The 19,426-nt window shown below is 50.1% G+C and overlaps 1 protein-coding gene and 1 long non-coding RNA gene across 20 annotated transcripts in view, besides 3 other annotated features; one reads left to right on the top strand and one right to left on the bottom strand.

The window, feature by feature from the left end:
* SNX29 (sorting nexin 29) overlaps nucleotides 1–19,426 on the bottom strand; it is a 597,554-nt gene that overhangs the window by 43,549 nt on the left and 534,579 nt on the right. For 6 of the 19 annotated variants that reach the window (NM_032167.5, XM_017023874.2, XM_017023873.3 and 3 more), the window contains one exon: nucleotides 5,898–6,037. In NM_032167.5, coding sequence (NP_115543.3) covers nucleotides 5,898–6,037 — 140 coding nt within the window. Of the gene's footprint in view, nucleotides 1–3,341; nucleotides 4,190–5,897; nucleotides 6,038–15,119; nucleotides 15,231–19,426 lie in introns of those variants that run through there. The other 13 variants (XM_047434881.1, XM_047434879.1, XM_047434885.1 and 10 more) reach the window with 6 other exon arrangements.
* Nucleotides 3,487–3,987: an enhancer, noted in NCBI's record as "H3K4me1 hESC enhancer chr16:12620609-12621109 (GRCh37/hg19 assembly coordinates)". NCBI's record gives its function as "activates a minimal SCP1, AML or CMV promoter by ChIP-STARR-seq in primed H9 embryonic stem cells {active_cell/tissue: H9 hESC(primed)}" and the evidence as "EXISTENCE:reporter gene assay evidence [ECO:0000049][PMID:30033119]".
* Nucleotides 7,530–8,030: an enhancer, noted in NCBI's record as "H3K4me1 hESC enhancer chr16:12616566-12617066 (GRCh37/hg19 assembly coordinates)". NCBI's record gives its function as "activates a minimal SCP1, AML or CMV promoter by ChIP-STARR-seq in naive H9 embryonic stem cells {active_cell/tissue: H9 hESC(naive)}" and the evidence as "EXISTENCE:reporter gene assay evidence [ECO:0000049][PMID:30033119]".
* Nucleotides 11,841–12,500: an enhancer, noted in NCBI's record as "H3K27ac-H3K4me1 hESC enhancer chr16:12612096-12612755 (GRCh37/hg19 assembly coordinates)". NCBI's record gives its function as "activates a minimal SCP1, AML or CMV promoter by ChIP-STARR-seq in primed H9 embryonic stem cells {active_cell/tissue: H9 hESC(primed)}" and the evidence as "EXISTENCE:reporter gene assay evidence [ECO:0000049][PMID:30033119]".
* LOC124903644 (uncharacterized) lies at nucleotides 15,967–18,068 on the top strand. Its single transcript, XR_007064992.1, has 3 exons — nucleotides 15,967–15,999; nucleotides 17,182–17,260; nucleotides 17,980–18,068. It is a non-coding gene; the product is annotated as an uncharacterized LOC124903644 (long non-coding RNA).

Genomic DNA, 19,426 nt, shown 5'->3' with positions numbered 1-19,426 from the left:
ACTAAAAATACAAAAATTAGCTGGGCATGGTAGCGGCCACTTGTAATTCCAGCTACTCAGAAAGCTGAGGCAGGAGAATCGCTTGAACCCAGAAGAGGGAAATTGCAGTGAGCTGAGATTGCGCCACTGCACTCTAGCCTGGGCGACAAGAGCGCAACTGTTCCCCACCAAAAAAAACAAAAAACAAAAAAAAAAAACGAAGGCAAATTTCAGAACAGTGGAGTTTCTATTTGACTTACATAAATATTGATGATTTCTGCAGTTACACAAAAGACTTGACAGTGAGTGCAAGGGTAGGTGTGCATGGGGTGGGTGCTGTTTACTTCCTCATCTTCTTTCTGTAGTGTTTTAGGGTTTTTCCACACTAGAACTTCATCACTTTCCCTAAAATATCTGCTCCCCACAATCTCCTTCCCCGAGGCTCCCTGTCTGTTGGTACAAACAGTGACACACATACAGTGCTTACTATGTGTGATGCGCTGTTCTAAAAGCTCCTAAAAGACCACTTTCCTCCTCAGTGGAAGAGCCAAAGACTATCAGCAACTCCAAAATCAACACCGCACTTTCTATGTGGCTACCAGGGGTCTCAAACTCACCTGCCTTAGAGGGCCAAGTGGTTGATGTAAGTCAGCAGAGCAGGCCAAGGGGAAAAGCAAGAGGGAGTAGTTGGAACGGTGCCGAACTGGGACACACTTGCCCATGGAAAGTCACATGCATGGACACTTTACTGAACACACACCTAACCAATATGCCTGCAGCTTTGAGATCTCTTGCATGGCATCACCACTCCTTACTGGCAACTGGGTAACGCTGAGGACTTTGGAGTCTGGAAGGTTCTGGCCAGTCCACAAAACAAGGGAAGTCAAAAGTTGCTACTTCCTGTTAGCAGTGACTTGCAAAGCAGCTTAGGTTCAAGTGACCCCTGGCAGTGCACAGGTCAGGGTGTGGCATCGCTGAGCTAAACGTAACCTGCTCACTGGGAGAACAAGGCAGCTCATATTTCAGCAAAAAATGGATATATTTCACAACCCTAAGAGAGAATGCAGCAGCAAATGGGGGCGGCGGCGGGGGAAACCCAGACTGGGTTTTCTGCTGAAAATCCAGTTGGGAATTTGTGCTGTGACCTACATTACTCTGCCACCTTCCAGCCCCCTAACTTTCTCTCTCCTCAAGGAGCAGGAGAACATAATGTATTTCCCAAAGTTAAATTACTCTGCAGAAAACCATTTTAATAATGCGCTAAATGACAGCACGGCAAATCACTGAAGCTGTCACCGATTTGCGGTCCAGTCTCACTGAGCGAATTCTTGGAGTCCGAGCCTCCCTCCACGAACGGTACCTCACATCTCCCCGGGGATCTCTGCCATCTGCAAAGTGTCACGTCTCTTAGTAACCACCCCTTCCCCAAATGTCAGACGACGAACACAGCACGGGGCTTCCCAAAGATGTGGGTGTTGGGAGGCTGGCACTCATCTGTTCCTTGTCTTGGGGAGTAGACTCTGGTCCCCCCTGGGCCACACTGATATACAGAGTTCAAAATAGAAAAGAAATGCCCCACTTCCCACCGGCCTACTTTCCAATTCAGAGCTGGCATTAGCAAGGGAGGCAACGGGAGGCACAGAGACTGGGAGGAAAAACTCAACCTCCCGATTCTTCAACTCAGATTTGTGCAGATGGCAGATTACTTAGAAGTCATGATGCCTCTTACAGAACACAGTGAAATATGGACACGTCAAATGGAATTTAAAAATGGAAGAGTGTGTGTGAAAGCAGGTTCCATCTAATACTGGACTGAAAGTTTTAAGTAATATTTGTGAGGAAAAACACAAGCAATTTCTACCCACTGGTTTTTATCTTTCCTGCCCACCTTCTCAGTTCCCAAACCAGAATGGGACCACCATTCCTGAAGCTGATCAGTGGCCCTGTTCACAGAACACACAGTGGCACAGTGTGCAAACCGAATGCATCATGAGTAACGTGGATGTCCACAGATTCAAATGGAGGGGCCGTGGGAGCAGTGGAGAAGAGCCAGGACTGCAAACTCCAGAGCCAGGTAGTCATGCAGGCAGGTGATCCACCCAAATGTATGACATAACCAGGCAAACAGCATGGAGGGGATGCTGGCTCAGTGCCCAGGAGACAACAGGAGATGGGGGTTCAGTGGACACGGGGCATCCAAGTGTGGGAGAGTGGGGGAATGGTGCTGTGACCAATTCTTCTGATTTTTCAAGAGAAGCTAGGCTGGGGGTGGTGGCTCACACCTGTAATTGCAGCACTTTCGGAGGTCGAGGTACGCGGATCACCTGAGGTCAGGAGTCTGAGACCAGCCTGGCCAACATGGCAAAACCCCATCTCTACTATAAAAAATACAAAAATTAGCTGAGCGTGGTGACACATGCCTGTAATCCCAGCTACTCAGAGGCTGAGGCGGGAAAATCACTTGAACCGGAGGTAGAGGTTGCAGTGAGCCAAGATTGTGCCACTGCACTCCAGCCTGTGCAACAGAGTGAGAACTTGTCTCAAAATAAAGAAGCTTGACGTCTGGATTTTTTTATCTGACACCTTCTAATTTTTTGATGTTGGCAAGTACTTGAATTAAGAAAAATAAATAACAGGCCAGGTGCGGTGGCTCACACCTGTAATCCCAGCACTTTGGGAGGCCAAGGTGGGGGAATAACGGGGTCAGGAGATCGAGACCATCCTGGCTAACACGGTGAAACCCCATCTCTACTAAAAATAAAAAAAAAATAGCCAGGCATGGTGGTGGGCACATGTAGTCCCAGCTACTCGGGAGGCTGAAGCAGGAGAATGGCGTGAACCTGGGAGGCAGAGCTTACAGTGAGCCGAGATCATGCCACTGGACTCCAGTTTGGCCGACAGAGCGAGACTTCATCTCAAAAAAAAAAAAAAAAGAAGAAGAAGAAAAATAAATAACAAAACAAAACCCCACTATACTGGCTAAATAAAATAAGTTGGAGAATCAGGCTCAGTCCACAGGGTGCAGGCTTCCCACCTCCATCCCAAAAACACGGGCTATGGTGCCAAACACCCTAGGATCCCCACGTGCTGGGTGGGGACCCCGGGACCAGCCAGTTCGCCCCTTTGAGCCTCACTTTCCTCAACACTATGAAATAGATTTCATTGGCTCTCCAGAAGACGAGATGAGATGGGTGCTGTGAAACACAAAGCTGACATCCACAGGAAAATGGGGGGCCCTCTCTTTAGTGAACAATCCGGTTACGTTCAGTAACTCAAATGGACTTTTTGGATCCTAAATCAACATTTGAAAGAACCAAGGAGAAAATCTGTCAAAATTTATAAGAATAATTATGCTTTGGGGGTTTATTTCCTTAGGCAGGAGATTTTTATTTTTTATTTTTTTTTAACCAGAAATCTCTCAGGCTCAGCTTTCCAGCTGAGACAGCAGTCTCGCTGCTTTCTGTGGGCAGCACATGGAGAAAGGACACGATCACATGGAGATTCGTCAGCACGGGTAAGGCTTGGCTGTGGCTGATCCATCATTACCCCAAAATGAAACAATCCGTACATTCCGACCTGTAATCCCATCCTGCTCAAAAAGGAAGAAGGAGAAGGGGGCTGTGGGATTTGGAACAGTGAGGAAAGCCAAAGAGCTTTTATTAAAAGAGCTGTTTAATTTCAACTGGGGTCTAGACCAACATGTAGTCAAAATTCCAGTGTCAACACTGTGTCATTTGCCACAGTCTCCCACTGAAATTCTCGTTTTGAAAAGTCCATAAATCGAACCCTGTGTTCTGTTCTGCGTGCTAATTAGGCACAAAAGGTTTCTCTCTCCGTGCTGACTGATGGCAACCAGCATGGCTGAGATTCATGTCACACCGACAGGCTCGCATTAACGTGCACTTTTTACAATTCGGCACGCGAATGTTTGGGAAACACTGGACCGGAGATGCCTGGGCTGTGGACCCCGCAGGGGGTGGGGGACACTGACTTGCGGATGGGGCAGCGCCTCCTGCTCACACTCTCAGCATCAGGAGTATCTTAGGAACAACTGGCTAACTCAGTTTTCACCAGGGAATTCAGTCGATGCGTGATGACTCCGCGAGAGGCTAATTCCCCCGTGCACCCTGGGCCATGGGGATGCCGCTAAGAGGATGAGAACTCCTCACGTGAACTATCGCGGCCATTTCCAAACAGTGAGATCCAGTCCCTGGCATTACAAATAAAAGAAGAAAAGAAAAATAAAGCGTTCTAGAAACTGTTTTCTATTCAGGACAAAAAGGCACCTCTTATCACAGGCAGCAGGATACTATAATGTCTTCTCACAAAAACCCCGGAACAATTAGAAAATCTAAGCAACCATCTTGGAGACAATTTCAAAGGGCCTAGGCAGGGAAGACAGGCAGCTGCTCATGTCGATCTGGATGGTACCGCTGGGCACACCCCACAGACAGGAGCACACCCCACAGAAGCCGGCTCCCAAAGGTGCACCCCACAGAGGGGAGCAGAAATGCACCCTCTGTTTTGAACCCAGCAACACCATTAGAACAACCGTTAAACAGCTACAGTGACAGGAAACTCTTATATTACCCCAGCATTTCATACAAATCACACCGACCCAGAACAGTGCTTCTCGAATAAGTCCCAATCCCACAGGTCTTCTCTATGGATTTTTACGTTTTGTGTTTCTATCACGGTAAGATTTTAGAAATAATACAATTACATTCTGTAGCATCTGAAGACCATAAAAACCAAGTCGGGCTTGATGGTTTTGGTTCCCCTAATTCCAAGGATGTAAATGTCAGCATTCCCAGGTTATGACAACAGAGTGGACTAATCAGTGGCAAGGCAGGGACGTCAAAAGGACAGCCTGACGTTTCCCAGCAATGGGACCAGAGCAAAGGGGTGGATGAAGTCAGCACGCCTGGCATGTGGCAGGCGAAAAGAAGTCACTGCATGACATTTCGAGCCAAGATTAGCTTTCTTGAAAACAGCAGCATCCGTTGGGTTAATTGACAATTTTGAAGTGTAATGATTTTTTCTTTTTTTTGGGGGGGGGGGTGGGGGGGGCGTGGAGTCTTGCTCTGTCACCCAGGCTGGAGTGCAGCGGCACAATCTCAGCTCACTGCAACCTCTGCCTCCTGGGTTCAAGTGATTCTCCTGCCTCAGCCTCCCAAGTAGCTGGGACTACAGGCGCCTGCCACCATGCCCAGCTAATTTTTGCACGGCTGGCTAATTTTTGTATTTTTAGTAGAGACAGGATTTCAACATGTTGGCCATGCTGGTCTCGAACTCCCGACCTCAGGTGATCCACCCGCCTCAGCCTCCCAGAGTGCTGGGATTACAGGCGTGAGCCACCGTGCCCAGCCTGAAGTGTAATGATTTTCTAAGTGCATAATATGTAAACTCTTTTAATTTTTTTTTTTTTTTACTTTTTTCAAGAGAGAAGAAGGCATTTAAATAATATTAATGTTCATTTTTAAGTAAAACTCATATAAAAATAATTTAAGTCAATACTGGTAGGAGTCTGGGAGAACTTTCCTTGGGTTCATTACCCAAGCTTGAGAAACACTGACACAATTTGTTTCAGTTTTGGAGCACCCGTGGGCTGTACAGAAAATTAATCTTCCCTTGATCGAAATGTGTGAAAGTACAAAATCACAGAGCCCCAAGTTTCTTTGTGAGCCTCAAGTCAACAATGCTCATTTGCAGGCCTGCTCTCTTCCCATCCCTTTAGAAGCTCCAAAGCGCTGAGACCCAACCTCCACTTTGGCACCTGGAACAGCCCCTGGAGTTCGCCTGGGTCCCATGGCGATCAGGGCATCACGGAGAGCCGCTGTGCTCCCTGACCTTCCAAAACGACCGAGAAAAAAATGCTGGCAGGGCTGGCGGCCCATGTCCGTGGGAGCAGTACTTACACGAAGAAGGGCATCAGCTGGATGAGGGTCTCCTTCTTGGGGCTGGCAGCGAACTCGGGGACCATCTGGATGACTTTGTTCATGACGCTGCGCAGGTAATTCTGGAGCTGCTTTCTCCGTTCCTCCACAAACTTGGCATCCTGAGGAAACACAAAACATCTTCGCTTTGGTACGTCTTCCTCACCTGGTCAGAAATGACCCTATAGAACAGGCGATCACCCATCAGCGCCATCCAGGCAACCAACACTGATTGAGCAACTATCTCGTATGAATGGTCCCTAAGCCCTTACATGTAGTATCACATGTAATAACAAGAAAGATGCTCACGATATTATTATTAAGTGGAGGAAAAGCAGGTCCAAGACCTCTATCTGGTGTGTTCCTATTCAAATGGGACAGTTATTTATGGGGCACCAAAATGTGCCGAATGTGGTGCTGGGGGTCAGGGTAGAACAATGAACACACTGCTGTGGCCTTCGTGGAGTTCACAGGCCAGCGAGGGAGACACAAATCAATCCAGTGACCACACAGGTCAGCGGGTAATTATCAATCACACCAAATGCCACTCCAGAGCACCGGCTTAATTTTGCCTTCAGGGGAGTTTCTCGAAATACAAAACAACTGCCACTGATTAAGAAAGAGGTTTTATTAATAAACAATTTCCGTATTCTCTTGAAAAACTAGGACGCGTGGGCCACGATGCAGACGCGGGCGGATCACCTGAGGCTGGGAGTTTGAGACCAGCCTAACCAACCTGGAGAAACCCCACGTTTCTCTACTAAAAATACAAAATTAGCCAGGCGTAGTGGCACGTTCCTGTAATCCCAGCTACTTGGCTGAGGCAGGACAATCACTTGAACCCGGGAGGCAGAGGCTGTGGTGAGCCAAGATGGCACCATTGCACTCCAGCCCGGGCAACAAGAGCGAAACTCCATCTCACACACACACAAAAAAAACCTAGGATGCATGGTAGCATGGCCCCACCCATAGGGCCATACCAGGCTGGGCTGTGCAGCGTGGCCCCAGAAGGCAGGCACAGGTCCCCAGGTCTGAGCAGTTTCCACCACTCAGTGATCAGGGGCTCTGTGATCCAGAACCCCCTCACTCATCCTACAGACCCCACCCCACCCCTGTGTCTGGTTGGTGTTTGTGGGCAGGGCCAGCTTGCTTGGTGTGCAACCCAAGCTGTCACAGAGGGTCCACACTGGGACTGCGTGGTGAGCTACTGCCCACCATTCTCATTAATTTGGAACCAGGGGCTCCACACTGTCACGTTGGCCTGGGCCCCACACATTCCATAGCCAATCCTGCTCCGTGTATCTGTGCTAGTAGCCCCTGGCTTGTAACAAAGACACCCTGGGCAGTGAGCATCGGGGCCGGGACAAGGCTTTCTCTGAGACCGTCATGCTCCTTCTGGACCGAAGACCAAGCAAGGTGAAGAAACAAAGAGCTGAGAGAAGGCAGTGGAGGAACGGGGTCATTCCAACCTCACAGAACACGAGGAGGAATGTTCTATGACGACGGCGCGTAACAGATGAGGAAACTGCTGTCTGCAGTGGGCCTCGGTACCTCGCCCAGGAGGCCCCATACATCAGGTGGGGCACTCGTCTCTGCTCTCCCTGTGCAGGCACAGAGCTGGCCCAAGGCAGGGGCTCAGTCACAATCTGTCAGCAACGAGAAAAACCACCTAGCATCACGTGCCCTGGTCCCCGGTGAAGAGCTCCCACAGGCCAGGTGTGGTGGCTCACACACCTTTAATCCCAGCACCTTAGGAAGCTGAGGCAGGAGCATCGCTTGAGCCCAGGAGTTTGAGACCAGCCTGGGTAACATAACAAGGCCCAATCTCTATAAAAAATTGAAAAAAGTAGCCGGGCACGGTGGTGTGCACCTGTAGTCCCAGCTACATGGGTGGCTGCAGCAGGAGGACTGCTTAAGCCCGAGAGGTAGAGTGCACGGTGCACTATGATCACACCACCGCATTCCACCCTGGGAGACAGTTAGACCCTGACTATATTAGTCCATTCTCACACTGCTATAAGGAACTACCTGAGACTGGGTAATTTATACAGAAAAGAGGTTTAACTGGCTCATGGTTTCGCAGGCTGTACAGGAAACATGGTGGGGGATGCCTCAGTAACTTACAATCATGGTGGAAGGCAAAGGGGACTCAGGCACATCTTACGTGGCCGGAGCAGGAGGAAGACAGTGAAGCGGGAGGTGCCACATACTTTTAAACAACCAGATCTCATGAGAACTCACTGTCATGAGAACAGCAAGGAGGAAATCCACCCCCATGATCCAGTCACCTCCCACCAGGCCCCACCTCTAACACTGCGGATTACAATTCGACAGGAGATTTGGGTAGGAACACAGATCCAAACCACATCACTGCCTCTAAAAAATAAAAACAAATCAAAAATCAAAATCAGAATAAAAAGAAGAGAAGAGTTCCCACAAAGCCTTGCCAAGGCCCCGAGCATGGCAAGAAGAGTCTTTCTTGAGAGGCACCTTTGAGCCAGGGCTGGCAGACTGAGCGAATGAGAATACACGGCACCCAGTGAAATTTGAACTTCAAATAAACAATGAACAATTTTTCAGCAAAAAGTATGTTCTATACAACGAAACCTTTCCATGCAGTATTTGCGATACACTTAGACTACAAAATTATTGGTTTATCTGAACTTCCAATTTCACTGGGCATCCTTATATTTTCTCTAGCAAGCCTCTTGCAAGCACCAGGTGGGAGATGGAAGCGTGGAGCATCTGTGCCAGCAGGGGCCCCTCGGGGCCACTCCAAAGTCACAACAAAGTCTTCTTCTCCAAAGCCACCTCCGATGAGCGGCCTCGGTGGGGGACCTTCCTCCAGAGGGGTGGCAGCTCTCAAACACTGCTGAGAGCCACTCCAATGTCACCATCAGTCCAGCTGGTGGCTAACATCTCACACCCTGGCAGGAGGCGGGCTATGTGCGAATGAGAGAAGATATTTAGACAAGGTTGTCCCAGGGTCCTCCAACCCAAGCTGGAGCCTCTGCTCACCCAGTCTGAATGCTGGTTCTGCTCCTTGGTTGCCAAGTTTCAACCCGCCATTAAACAATGAGATGCTTTTCCTTGGGAAGGTGGTTAAGATGCCTGGCTAGTGCCCAACGGAGCTCATGAAGCCTAGTTTTTAATCTGCACAAGAAACCCTCAAGGCAGCTTGATAGACTCTGCTACAGGAAGACAAGAAAGGAGCTCATCAGCCCTGCAAAAACTTGTGAAGATTTTTCTTTTTTTGGAAGGGAAATGCTCAAAACACTCTAAAGCAATAAGGAGAGATCAGAGATGGTCCTTCCTACTATATGTGGGGTGGTGCTACAGAGCCCAAGGAAAGTGAACCCCCCACCCCCAAAATGAAGGTTAGAGAATTCCATCCATGAGTCTAATCTGCCTCTCTCACCCAGGTCCCAGAGGCCCCTGGAGAAATCCCAAGTCCCTCCCAAGTGCTCACTCCTCACAATAGCTGCTTCCTGGAAACCTAAGCCAGGTTCTGCTCTAGGAATGTCCAATATGGCAGCAATTGGAATTAAAAAAAAAATCTGATTTCTTTCAATAATTTTTGCGGGTACAGGTGATTTCTGGTTACATGAACGAGTGTTTTATTTGTTTTTGTTTTTTGTTTTTTTGAGACAGTGTCTCACTCTGTCGCCCAGGGTGCAGTGCAGTGACACGATCTCAGCTCACTGCAACCTCCGCCTCCCAGGTTCAAGCAGTCCTCCTACCTCAGCCTCCCAAGTAGCTGGGATTACAGGCACACACACAGCCATGTCTGGCTAATTTTTGTATTTTTACTAGTGACGACTGTTCTCGAACTCCTGACTTCAAGTGATCCGCCCACCTCAGTGTCCCAAAGTACTGGGATTACAGGCATGAGCTACTGCACCCGGCCTTGAACGAGTTCTTTAGTGGTGAATTCTGAAACTCTAGTGCCCCCTTCACCTGAGCAGTGTGCACTGTACTCAAATATGCGGTCATTTATCCCTCACCTCCCTCCCAACCTCCCCCACGCCTGAGTCCCCAAAGTCCATTATTATCACTCTGTATGTATTTGCATGCCCATAGCTTCGCTCCCGCTTATAAGTGAGAACACACGGGATTCGGTTTTCCATTCCTGAGTTACTTCACTTAGAATAATGGCCTTTTGCTTCATCCAAGTTGCCGCAAAAGACATGATTTCGTTCCTTTTTTATGGCTGATAGTATTCCATGGTGTATATAAACCATATTTTCTTTATCCATTGATGTCTGTGACATCTTCACTCATGCTCGTTTCTCAGAGATTTCCCTGCCCTGTGTCCCTACAGCACAGCCAAGGCTGGTCACTGAATTTCAGAAAGGTGAGGAACTTGCACAAAGGGTCAAGACTAGGAGGTGGCTGAGCAGGGCCTTCCATCAGGCAGCAGGGACAGCCTCCCCAGTACAGAAGACAACTTTCAGCCTTCCAAATAAAAGCCCATGGGTTCCTCTACACCAGGCTTCCCCAAAGCGGGGTTCAGTTCTTTGAGATTCTACTTCCAGGTTGGCTTTAGGAGAAGCCATCTGCCTTGTGAAGAGGAGGAAGCCTGACACCTGGGTGCAGGGGCAGGTGGGGCTGCATGACTCATCCTCTGCCCCAGGCACTTTTCCCTCAGGTCTCACTCTGACCCTAGAGGTGCAGACACCCTGGCCTGAATCGCGGCACAGGACTCGGTAGAATGTGACCTGAGAGGTGTGGAAGATCCCAGAATAATTCATGGAAGGCTATATTCCTGCCTGTGACTGTGTTTTGTTTTCTTACTTTTTTATTATTATTATTATTATTTTTATTTTTATTTTTTGCAGGCGGGACAGAGTCTCGCTCTGTCGCCCAGGCTGGAGTGCAGTGGTGCAATCCCTGGTTCAAGAGATTCTCCTGCCTCAGCCTCCCAAGTAGCTGGGACTACAGGGGCACACCACCATGCCTAGCTAATTTTTGTATTTTTAACAGAGACAGGGTTTCGCCATGTTGGCCAGGCTGGTCTCGAACTCCTGCCCTCAGGTGATACTCCTGCCCTCAGGTGATCCACCTGCCTCGGCCTCCCAAAGTGCTGGAATTACAGGTGTGAGACATCACGGATTGCTGAAAAATTTTAAATAAGACAAAAAGCAGCACAAATTTTAATGAATCTCCACAATACTTTGTCTAAAAAGTCTTAACTCTTTTCCATATTTGTGTCATCATTTTTACCTTTTCGCTAAGGTGTTTTAAGGTAAATTATAGTCATGACATTTTACTCCTAAATACTTCAGTGTGTATTTCTGAAAAATTAACAACATTTTCCCATTTGACCACAATGGCATAATCACCTGTAACAAAATTAATGATGAGTCATTGGTGTTATCTAAGACCTAGCCTGTGTTTAAACGTTTGAGTTTTCAAATGTGCCTGCTGCTTCTGGAATTTTAAAAGACGAGTTACAGTGCACCTCTTTATCCATTCTTTAATAGGTTGAATGCAATACTGTTCAGACTGGACTCCCCCTGCGATCACCTGGGTTCTGACCTTTTGGGGGACATGGTGCCACCATTTTCACCACAAGCTGTTCACGGAGGTCCACAGACTAACTGTGACCCACAGGTATGTTTTGTATGGCCTGAGCAATGTTCTGAAACATTAAAACCGGGAGATTTCTGCATAAAACCCAGATTTCTGGCTTCCCTTTAAATAATGAGCAGCCCTGCCAGTGGGTAGGGGCTAAGCCGGGAGTGCCTGATTAGCGGACCACATAGCACCGTCACTCCCCAGGACAGCCTGCTCCCCGTCCTGGCAGCCTCCGTGGGCCAGTGCATTTGCAAGCCCTGATTTATACCCCTTGCACAGGCAGTATGACCAGCCGAGGCCCCAGAAATGCATCCCAGAGGCTACACTGCATCTACTTCACATCACAAGGTGACATTCCCTGAGGCTGTCAGAGACCTGCAGTACCATTTACCGGCTCTGTGGGAATGCAGCGAAATCCCCTGCAATCTCTGTTTCTCATCTGCAAGACAGCGATGGGGTAGCTCCTACCCCATTGGTGATAACCCAGGCTCAGCACCTGGTAGCTGACATGGCCCACCAGGCCTGTGACAGGTGCTGATGATCCACAGATGTTTAGCTGGGATCCTTTTCCTCGAGGAGTTTAAATGTGCAGGAGGGGGTAGGGACAGGCTGGGGCAAGTGCTGCGATGGAACCCACAGGTGCTCAGGGAACCTCGCAGGGAGGAATATCTACGTTTGCAGGAGGGCTGGAGAGAGCGTGTCACTGCAAGGAAGCAGCCCCTGAAGCTGGTGCTTTAGCTGGCTCCTGGAGGAAAGGCGTGTGGCCATCAGGTGGTCAAGGTGGTGCCCTGAGGGTGGGGGAAGGGCATGCCAAGTGGAAAGAACAGCAAATGCAAGAAGAAACCCCCAGGCAGAAGGAGCTTGGCTTGCTGGAACAGGAGGCAGCCGGTGTGGCTGGGTTTAGCGGCTCCAGAGGTGTAAGACTGCAGTGTGAGCAGCAGTAAAACCGTGCAGAGCCACGTAGACCAGTGAACAAAGCCAACGGGAGGTGGGAGGCATCAGGTAGCTGATCTGATCAACACTGAGAAGCAATGCTGGGGGACAGTAGGGTGTAGGAAGCTTAGGCAGAGAGAGCTCTCAAAACTCCATCACGACCCTCTGCAGTTGGAATTCTTCAATGGCTCCCATGAACTCTGTCCACCTCCCAGCACACACGACTAAACTAGCGTGGCTCATGGGAACCTTGCCGCGTGGCCGCAGCACGCCTTGCTAACCTCTCTTCACGTCACCTTCTCCCCAGTACCTCCCACCCCGACCCTCACCAACATTGTAATATGTTAGCAGCCCCAAGTTTCTTCTCATGTCCAGCACACAGTCTCCTGATGTCTCCTGTCTTCATCTGGGATGTCCCAGAAGGCCTTGCCATTTTGGTCTTCGCTCCTGTGCCAATACCTCCGAGAGACCTCTCGGGACATGCCAGTGGAGGTCGCCCAGGCCCTCTCTGATCCAGTCCTCATTCTCCTTTCTTCAAAGCACTCGTTGCTTCCTGGGATAGTCTCATTCCTTCACTGCAGGACTCTTGCTAACTCCCCCACCTCCCTTGCTAGATGGTAATTCCACCAAGGCAGGCACCTTATCTGTCTGGTTCATCCCTTTATCGCCGGAGCCTATCACAGCGCCTGGAGATCCCAAGAGGCTCCATACACATTTGTTGAGAGAACAAATACCTGTTGGGATAAAATTAGGGAAGGCCAGGCAGACCATAGGAAGAATGGCCTGGAGGATGTTGCGAAAGTCCAGAGAGAGAGAACAAAGATCCCTGGTGGTGGAGTGGACAGACTGGCCTGGAAGCCAGCTCCCTGATTCCAAAGAGAGCCGAACACCAGGGAGCAAGTGAGTGAAGACAGGGAACTAGGCCTTCAGAGGCCCCATCTGTCACATGGGGCTCCCAGGAGGAGACAGGGCATCCAGGAAGGGCCCTGACCCCCTGAGGAATGTCCAGCTCTTAAAGGGCCATGAGGGATCTGTGAGTTTTCTGGTTGGGCTCCTAGGGTGGCAGCCAAAATTCAGATGAGAAGCCACAGGACTGGAGGCAAACCCAGCGTATGGAACCTGCCAGACTTCTCTAGGGGCTGCCTAATGAGTCCTTGCCACCCACCCGTGGCTCTGCTGTCACTCTGTGTGGTATTCCTACCATAACGCCATCGTCAATGATGCCTGAGAGCTATTCATAGACGGCACTGGGAGTTGGGCCTCGCTTTCAAAAAGAACACTCGAGACAATTTTAATAGGAATATTTTTCTTCCCTCCAGAAAAGGTTAATTTTATTTTGAGCTTCAAGAAGATAAAGTTATCATCAAATGAAGAATAGCTATTTTTAAAACGATGGAATGCTGTGAACAAGACAACGAGGCTCCTGGAAGCAATGCTCAGGCCCCGCCCCCTGTATTTCCCTGAATTTTGTTTCCTGGTTTGTTTCTGACAAGTGTGTCTTTGCAACGCATGTCCCGCTCCCCAGTGGGCCCCTCCCCAGGAGCCGCACCTCGTGTCAGCTACGTGACAGACAGAGGTGATTTTGCATTTCCAAAGTTCTTTTTCTTTTCATCAAGGAACATCAAGGTATTTTGTAAAATAAAAAGGTCTTGTCTATCGGGAGTAGCAGGCAGCTCAGCCCCCTTAAGAGATATCTGCTTTGGAGTCAGCTGATATAGGAACTTGTCACTGGCTAGAGAATTCTAGAATGTTGACTAGACTACTAAGGACTCCAGCAACAAGGCCTCCTGGCTATGAGATTCCATCCTGCACCTTTTTTTTTTTTTTTTTTTCTGAGACGGGATATCTCTCTGTTGCCAAGACTGAAGTGCAGTGGTACAATCATGGCTCACTGCAGCCCTGACCTCCCAGGCTCAAGCAATCCTCCTGCCTCAGCCTCCAGTGTAGCTGGGACTACAGGTGCACACCACCACGTCTGGCTAATTTTTAAAGTTTTTGTAGAGACGGGGTCTCACTATGTTGCCCAGGCAGGTCTTGAACTCCTGGGCTTAAGCGAGCCTCCCTCCTCAGCCTCCTAGAGTGCTGAGATCACAGGTGTGAGCCACCACGCCTGGTCTCGTACCCATTCTGATGAGACTGGCTCACCAACCCCGTTTCTTCTTTCTGGGCACAAAGACAGACCAGGCTTCCCAGCATGCCTTGCAATTAGACGAGAGCCATCGGCTGACTTATGGTTAATGTAAGGTAATGGGAGTTGGGGCAGGCCACGTCTAGGCCTAGCCGAGAAAAGGAAATTCCCTGCCATCCTCCCCTCCCCTGCTTCCCCTTCCCCTTTCTCTGGGAGCATGTAGCCCACACGTGGAGAAAGGAGGGGCTGCCTGATCTGCAGTGGACTGTGACATGAATGAGAAGTTAACTCGTGGTGCACCATCGAGTTACAGATTTACGCCCAGGCTGGTTACTGGCACTCGCGTTAATTGTGCTGGCTCCTGCATGGTTCACTCAGTGACTATCTGCCGCATGCCTGCATATGTCCAAGGCACCGTGCCTTGAAGGAACGTATTGGCAAACAGATGTGACCCCTGCCCTCCGGAGCTTAGATCCAGTAGAGCCAACAAGCAGATACGTGAATACATCATAAAGAGTGCTGGCACAGAGATGGACTTGGCTTGGGTGGCTAGGACAGGAAGGCACCTGGGAGGAGGTGACTTCGGAGGTCACCTGAAGATTCAGAGGAGGCAATGCAGGAAGCAGAGAGGCCAGCAAGGATGCTGCTGCAGTCATCCAGGCAGGAGATGGTGGCGGCTGGGGAGGCAAGGAGAAGCGAATGGGTTTCAGTTCTATTTCAGAGCTGACTGATCTATTTCAGGGGTGACTTGCGGATGGGGTGCAATCATTCATCCTCTCATTCAGCTCTCCAGTCACATATATTCGTTTGTTGATTCATTCAGCATGCATTCTTTGGGGGCCTACTGTGAGCCAGGCACTTCCAGTTAAAAGATAAATGAGACCTGTGGATCCCGCCTTCGTGGAACTTACAGTCAGCTGGAAAAGACATGCAAAGCGATCATTACAAAACAGTGTGACAAAGCCACAACACACGCCTGATGAAGGGCTACACAAGGTCTTCCATAGGGGAGAATGAGGACAGGGTGCCTGATCTGAATGGGGGTTAGGGAGCCCTCCCACAGGACTATGTGACATAATAATGACCATCATCATTATTAGTAGCAGCAGCAGGAGGAGCCGTCACTAGCAACATTTTTGGAGTGCTTTCTCTGCCAGGCACTGGGCTAGGCACACCTATGCTTAAGCATCATTTCATTTATTCTCAGCAGCCCATCGAGAGAGGGGCTTTTTTCTTTCTTTCTCTCTTTCTTTCTTTCTTTCTTTCTCTCTTTCTTTCTCTCTCCCTCTCTCTCTCTCTTTCTTTCTTTCTTTGTTTTTTAGAGACCTAATTTTGCTCTGTTGTCCAGGCTAGAGTGCAGTGGCACAATCTCGGCTCACTGCAACCTCCACCTCCCCGGTTCAAGTGATTCTCCTGCCTCAGCCTCCCGAGTAGGAGGGATTACAGGTACATGCCACCACGCCCAGCTAATCTTTCTATTTTTACTAGAGACGGGGTTTCACCATGTTGGCCAGGCTGGTCTCGAACTCCTGGCCTCAAGTGATTTGCCCGTCTTGGCCTCCCAAAGTGCTGGGATCACAGGCATGAGCCACCATGTCTGGCCAAGAGAGGGGCTTTTTCATGTTCCCATTTCAGAAGAATGAAGCTGATACTCAGAGGCGCCCAGGTCCACAACTCCTTAGTTGGGGGGTAGAAACAAGAATTGGCCCCAAGAGGCCTGATTCCTGAGCCAGTGCCCTTATATCCACTCTGCTCTACGACAGTGGGAGAGAAAGGCAGCTCCAGGGCAGGGAGGAGCCTGAAGATGCCAAAGACAGTAGCTTAGGGGGACCACAAGATTCAGGAGCAGAGGCGCCTGAGGTAGGGGGAGCTAGGGCAGCCCTAGGAAGCCACATGAGAGAATCTGGACTTTCCCCAAGGAGTGACAGGCATTTTAAGCCAGAGAGTGAGAATCAGCTATTCCTTCTATGAGACTGAAAACAGCTCTGAGTCTTCAATTTTAAAAAGCCCCTCTGTTTTATCCCTGGAGCATTGAAAATCTGCCTTTCTTCTTTCAAGCATTAGCCAGCTGGGAGGTGTGGAACTCATCAAAACCACAGGCCCAATCCTGCCACCCTGGGATGCAGGGAGCAAGCCGCAATCCACGGCAAATCCATGCCAACCTGTGAACTCTGCTTTATAACGGGGGACGCCTGGGCTCCCAGCACCCAGGCCTGAGCAGTTGTTTCTGGGGAGCCCACTGTGCGGTTGCTAATTGGGAAGCTGACGAGAGCAATTCCTGTTATTGCCACTTAAAAACTCTCCACAGAGACATCTGAGAGCAACAAATAGTCGGGCATGGTGGCCCTCATAGCGGTGGCTTCCCAAATGTCACAGAGCTCCTTTTATCAGCTGCTGACTGGGCGCTGTTAGCAAAGCTTCACGAAGTGGCCTCCCCTGATTAATTTGGGGAAAATAATACAATTGCAAATTTAGAAAAGAAAACTGTTCTAATCTTTATACTGGGACTTGGCCCCAAATATTCATGAGGAAGGTCCTGAGGCTCCCATCTGGGCCAATCAGCGGGGCAACGGCGTGGCTGAGAGGCTGGAACAGGTCCTGCAGCTTGTTCATCAGGCCTTTTTCTAGGTGATCACCACCTGGAACGCACCAGGCATGGACAGAAGAGGGGAGAGATGAAGTCTTTAGCTGAAGGTGTTTTGCAAGGGTACGGAAGGGAAGGAGAGAGCAGAGGAAGGCAGCGCAGGGAAGAGGAGAGGGTAGGAGGAAAGAGAACTGAGTAGAGGGGAGGGGAAGGGAGAGCAGGGCAGGGCAGAGGAAGGCTGAGGAGAAGAGAGCAGGGCAGGGCAGGGCAGGCAGGGGAAGGGAGAGAAGGGGAGAGGAGGGCAAGGCAGGAGGGCTGGGGAGGGAGCACTAGGAAGGGGAGGGGAGAGGAGGACAGAAAACAAGCAGGGCAGGAGAAAGGCAGGCACAGTAGGGCAGGGCAAGGGAGAGGGAGGAAAGGTATGGGAGGGAGGGGAGAGGAGTTCAGAGGAAGGGAGGATGAGGGAGGGCAGGGTCAGAGAGGAGAAGAGAGAACTGAGGAAGGGGTACGCAGGGCAGGATGCATGTCAAAGACACCCTTGGTGGGACTCCCCTCCCATAAGCCTCTGCGGACACACTGCCTTGGAGGCCAGGGCCACTGCCCTCTGGGGGGACAAGGGAAGCAAGGCCCCATCGACTCTTTCACCCCAGCAACTCCGCTCTGCCACCACTTCCCAAACAAGTGCTTTGGTGACGGACTGGGAAGGAGGGAGGAGGGGAGGAAACAGGCCTCGCCCTGCAGAGGCCATCTCGCCCTCACTCCCCAGGCATTGATTGAGTCCATGGGATCGGATTCAGTTCTCCATCTAAGCAGACATCTCTTTGACTTCACTTCTGTGCCAGGCCCTGTGAGGAGAAGTGAACAGCACCTAGTTGTCCCTGAAAGCACGGACGGTCTATGGTTCATGCACGTACTCCAGCCTCCATCAGGCACCCATGGTAGAGAGAATCCATCAACCGCCTGCGTATCCATGGGATGCTCGTCTCCCTCGAGTACTGCTCATGAGTCCCACGGAAGAGAAGGGGCCAGTCAAGTGAAGAAGCAATGGCAAACTCCAAAACAACCCCATGGGAGGTGGAAAGATCACTTGAGCATGGGAGGTCAAGGCTGCAGTGAGCTGAGATCGCACCACTGCACTCCAGCCTGGGCAACAGAGGGAGACCCTGTCTCAAAAACCGAAAACTATATATATATATATATATATATATATATATATATATATATATATATATTTTCCCTGGGCCTTCCATGATGGACGTAAACAGTGATGGGGAGATTCAAGCTCCCTGCAGAGCACTCAAGGGCCCTCACCATCCAGCTCCCACCTGCCTCTCCAGCCGCACCCTCTCACCTGGCACGGCTCCACTCCCTGGGCACTTTCACACCACCAAGGAGATGCTCACACCCCAAACTTAATCTTAGGGGCCAATGCAAATGCCTCCCTACATCCCCTGGGGGACAGCTGGTTGCTGCCTGTACCACGAAGCCAGAACCAGCTGCAGTTTGGCCTCATCTGTTGAGACATCCCTGACTCTCCCCCATCCCATCCGCTGCAAGGCCCTCCAGGGTCCTCCTCACGGCTGTATCCATCTTCAGTGCCCAGCACAAAGCACACACCCCTCAGTGAACGGTCACAGCTACTGTGAACCGAGTCGCTTCTATGCGGCCCGACCACTTCCTCTGCCCTGCCCAACGCCGTCCAGTGGTTTCCTGGTCCACCTAGAATGAACTCTGAAGTTCTCAAGTCCCATAGGAGGCTGTGGGACAGCCCGAGGTTTTGAGCTCAGCCCCATTGCTTTCGAGATCTTACTCTAAAGTTGCGGGGGAGGGGGGATGACAGATCATAGCCCCAATCCCTGGGCAGCTCAAGAGAGGAATACCCATGAAAGAGCTCGGAGACTACACCACAGCATTCACGCGGTATCATTAAACTGCTAAATGTTAGAACAGAAAATAAAACCTGATCGCGCATCTACAATGACGATGTGCCTAAATCAAAACTTCACTGCAAACACAGGGAGGAAAGCATGTCTCTATTTCAGGAAAGGAACAAGGGCTCCACACGGAGCTGAAGGCCCAGTTACACTCTCCTCACACGTGTTTCTCGTAACAATAATAGGACCTTTATCACCAGATTCCTACATGCCAAGCACGATGTGGAGTGTTTGCTTCCATTATCTCAGCATACCCCTGCAACAGCTTTGGGAAATAGACAGTAATATCCCCATTTGGCAAAGCATAAACTGAGGCTCCAAGAGATTCAGTGGCTTCTCTAAGGTGACCCAGCTG

The sequence above is a fragment of the Homo sapiens genome, chromosome 16, assembly GCF_000001405.40.
Source record: "Homo sapiens chromosome 16, GRCh38.p14 Primary Assembly".
Lineage (NCBI taxonomy): Eukaryota > Metazoa > Chordata > Mammalia > Primates > Hominidae > Homo > Homo sapiens.
Note: the sequence above shows the minus strand (reverse complement) of the source record. Positions and strands in the feature narration are given on the sequence as shown.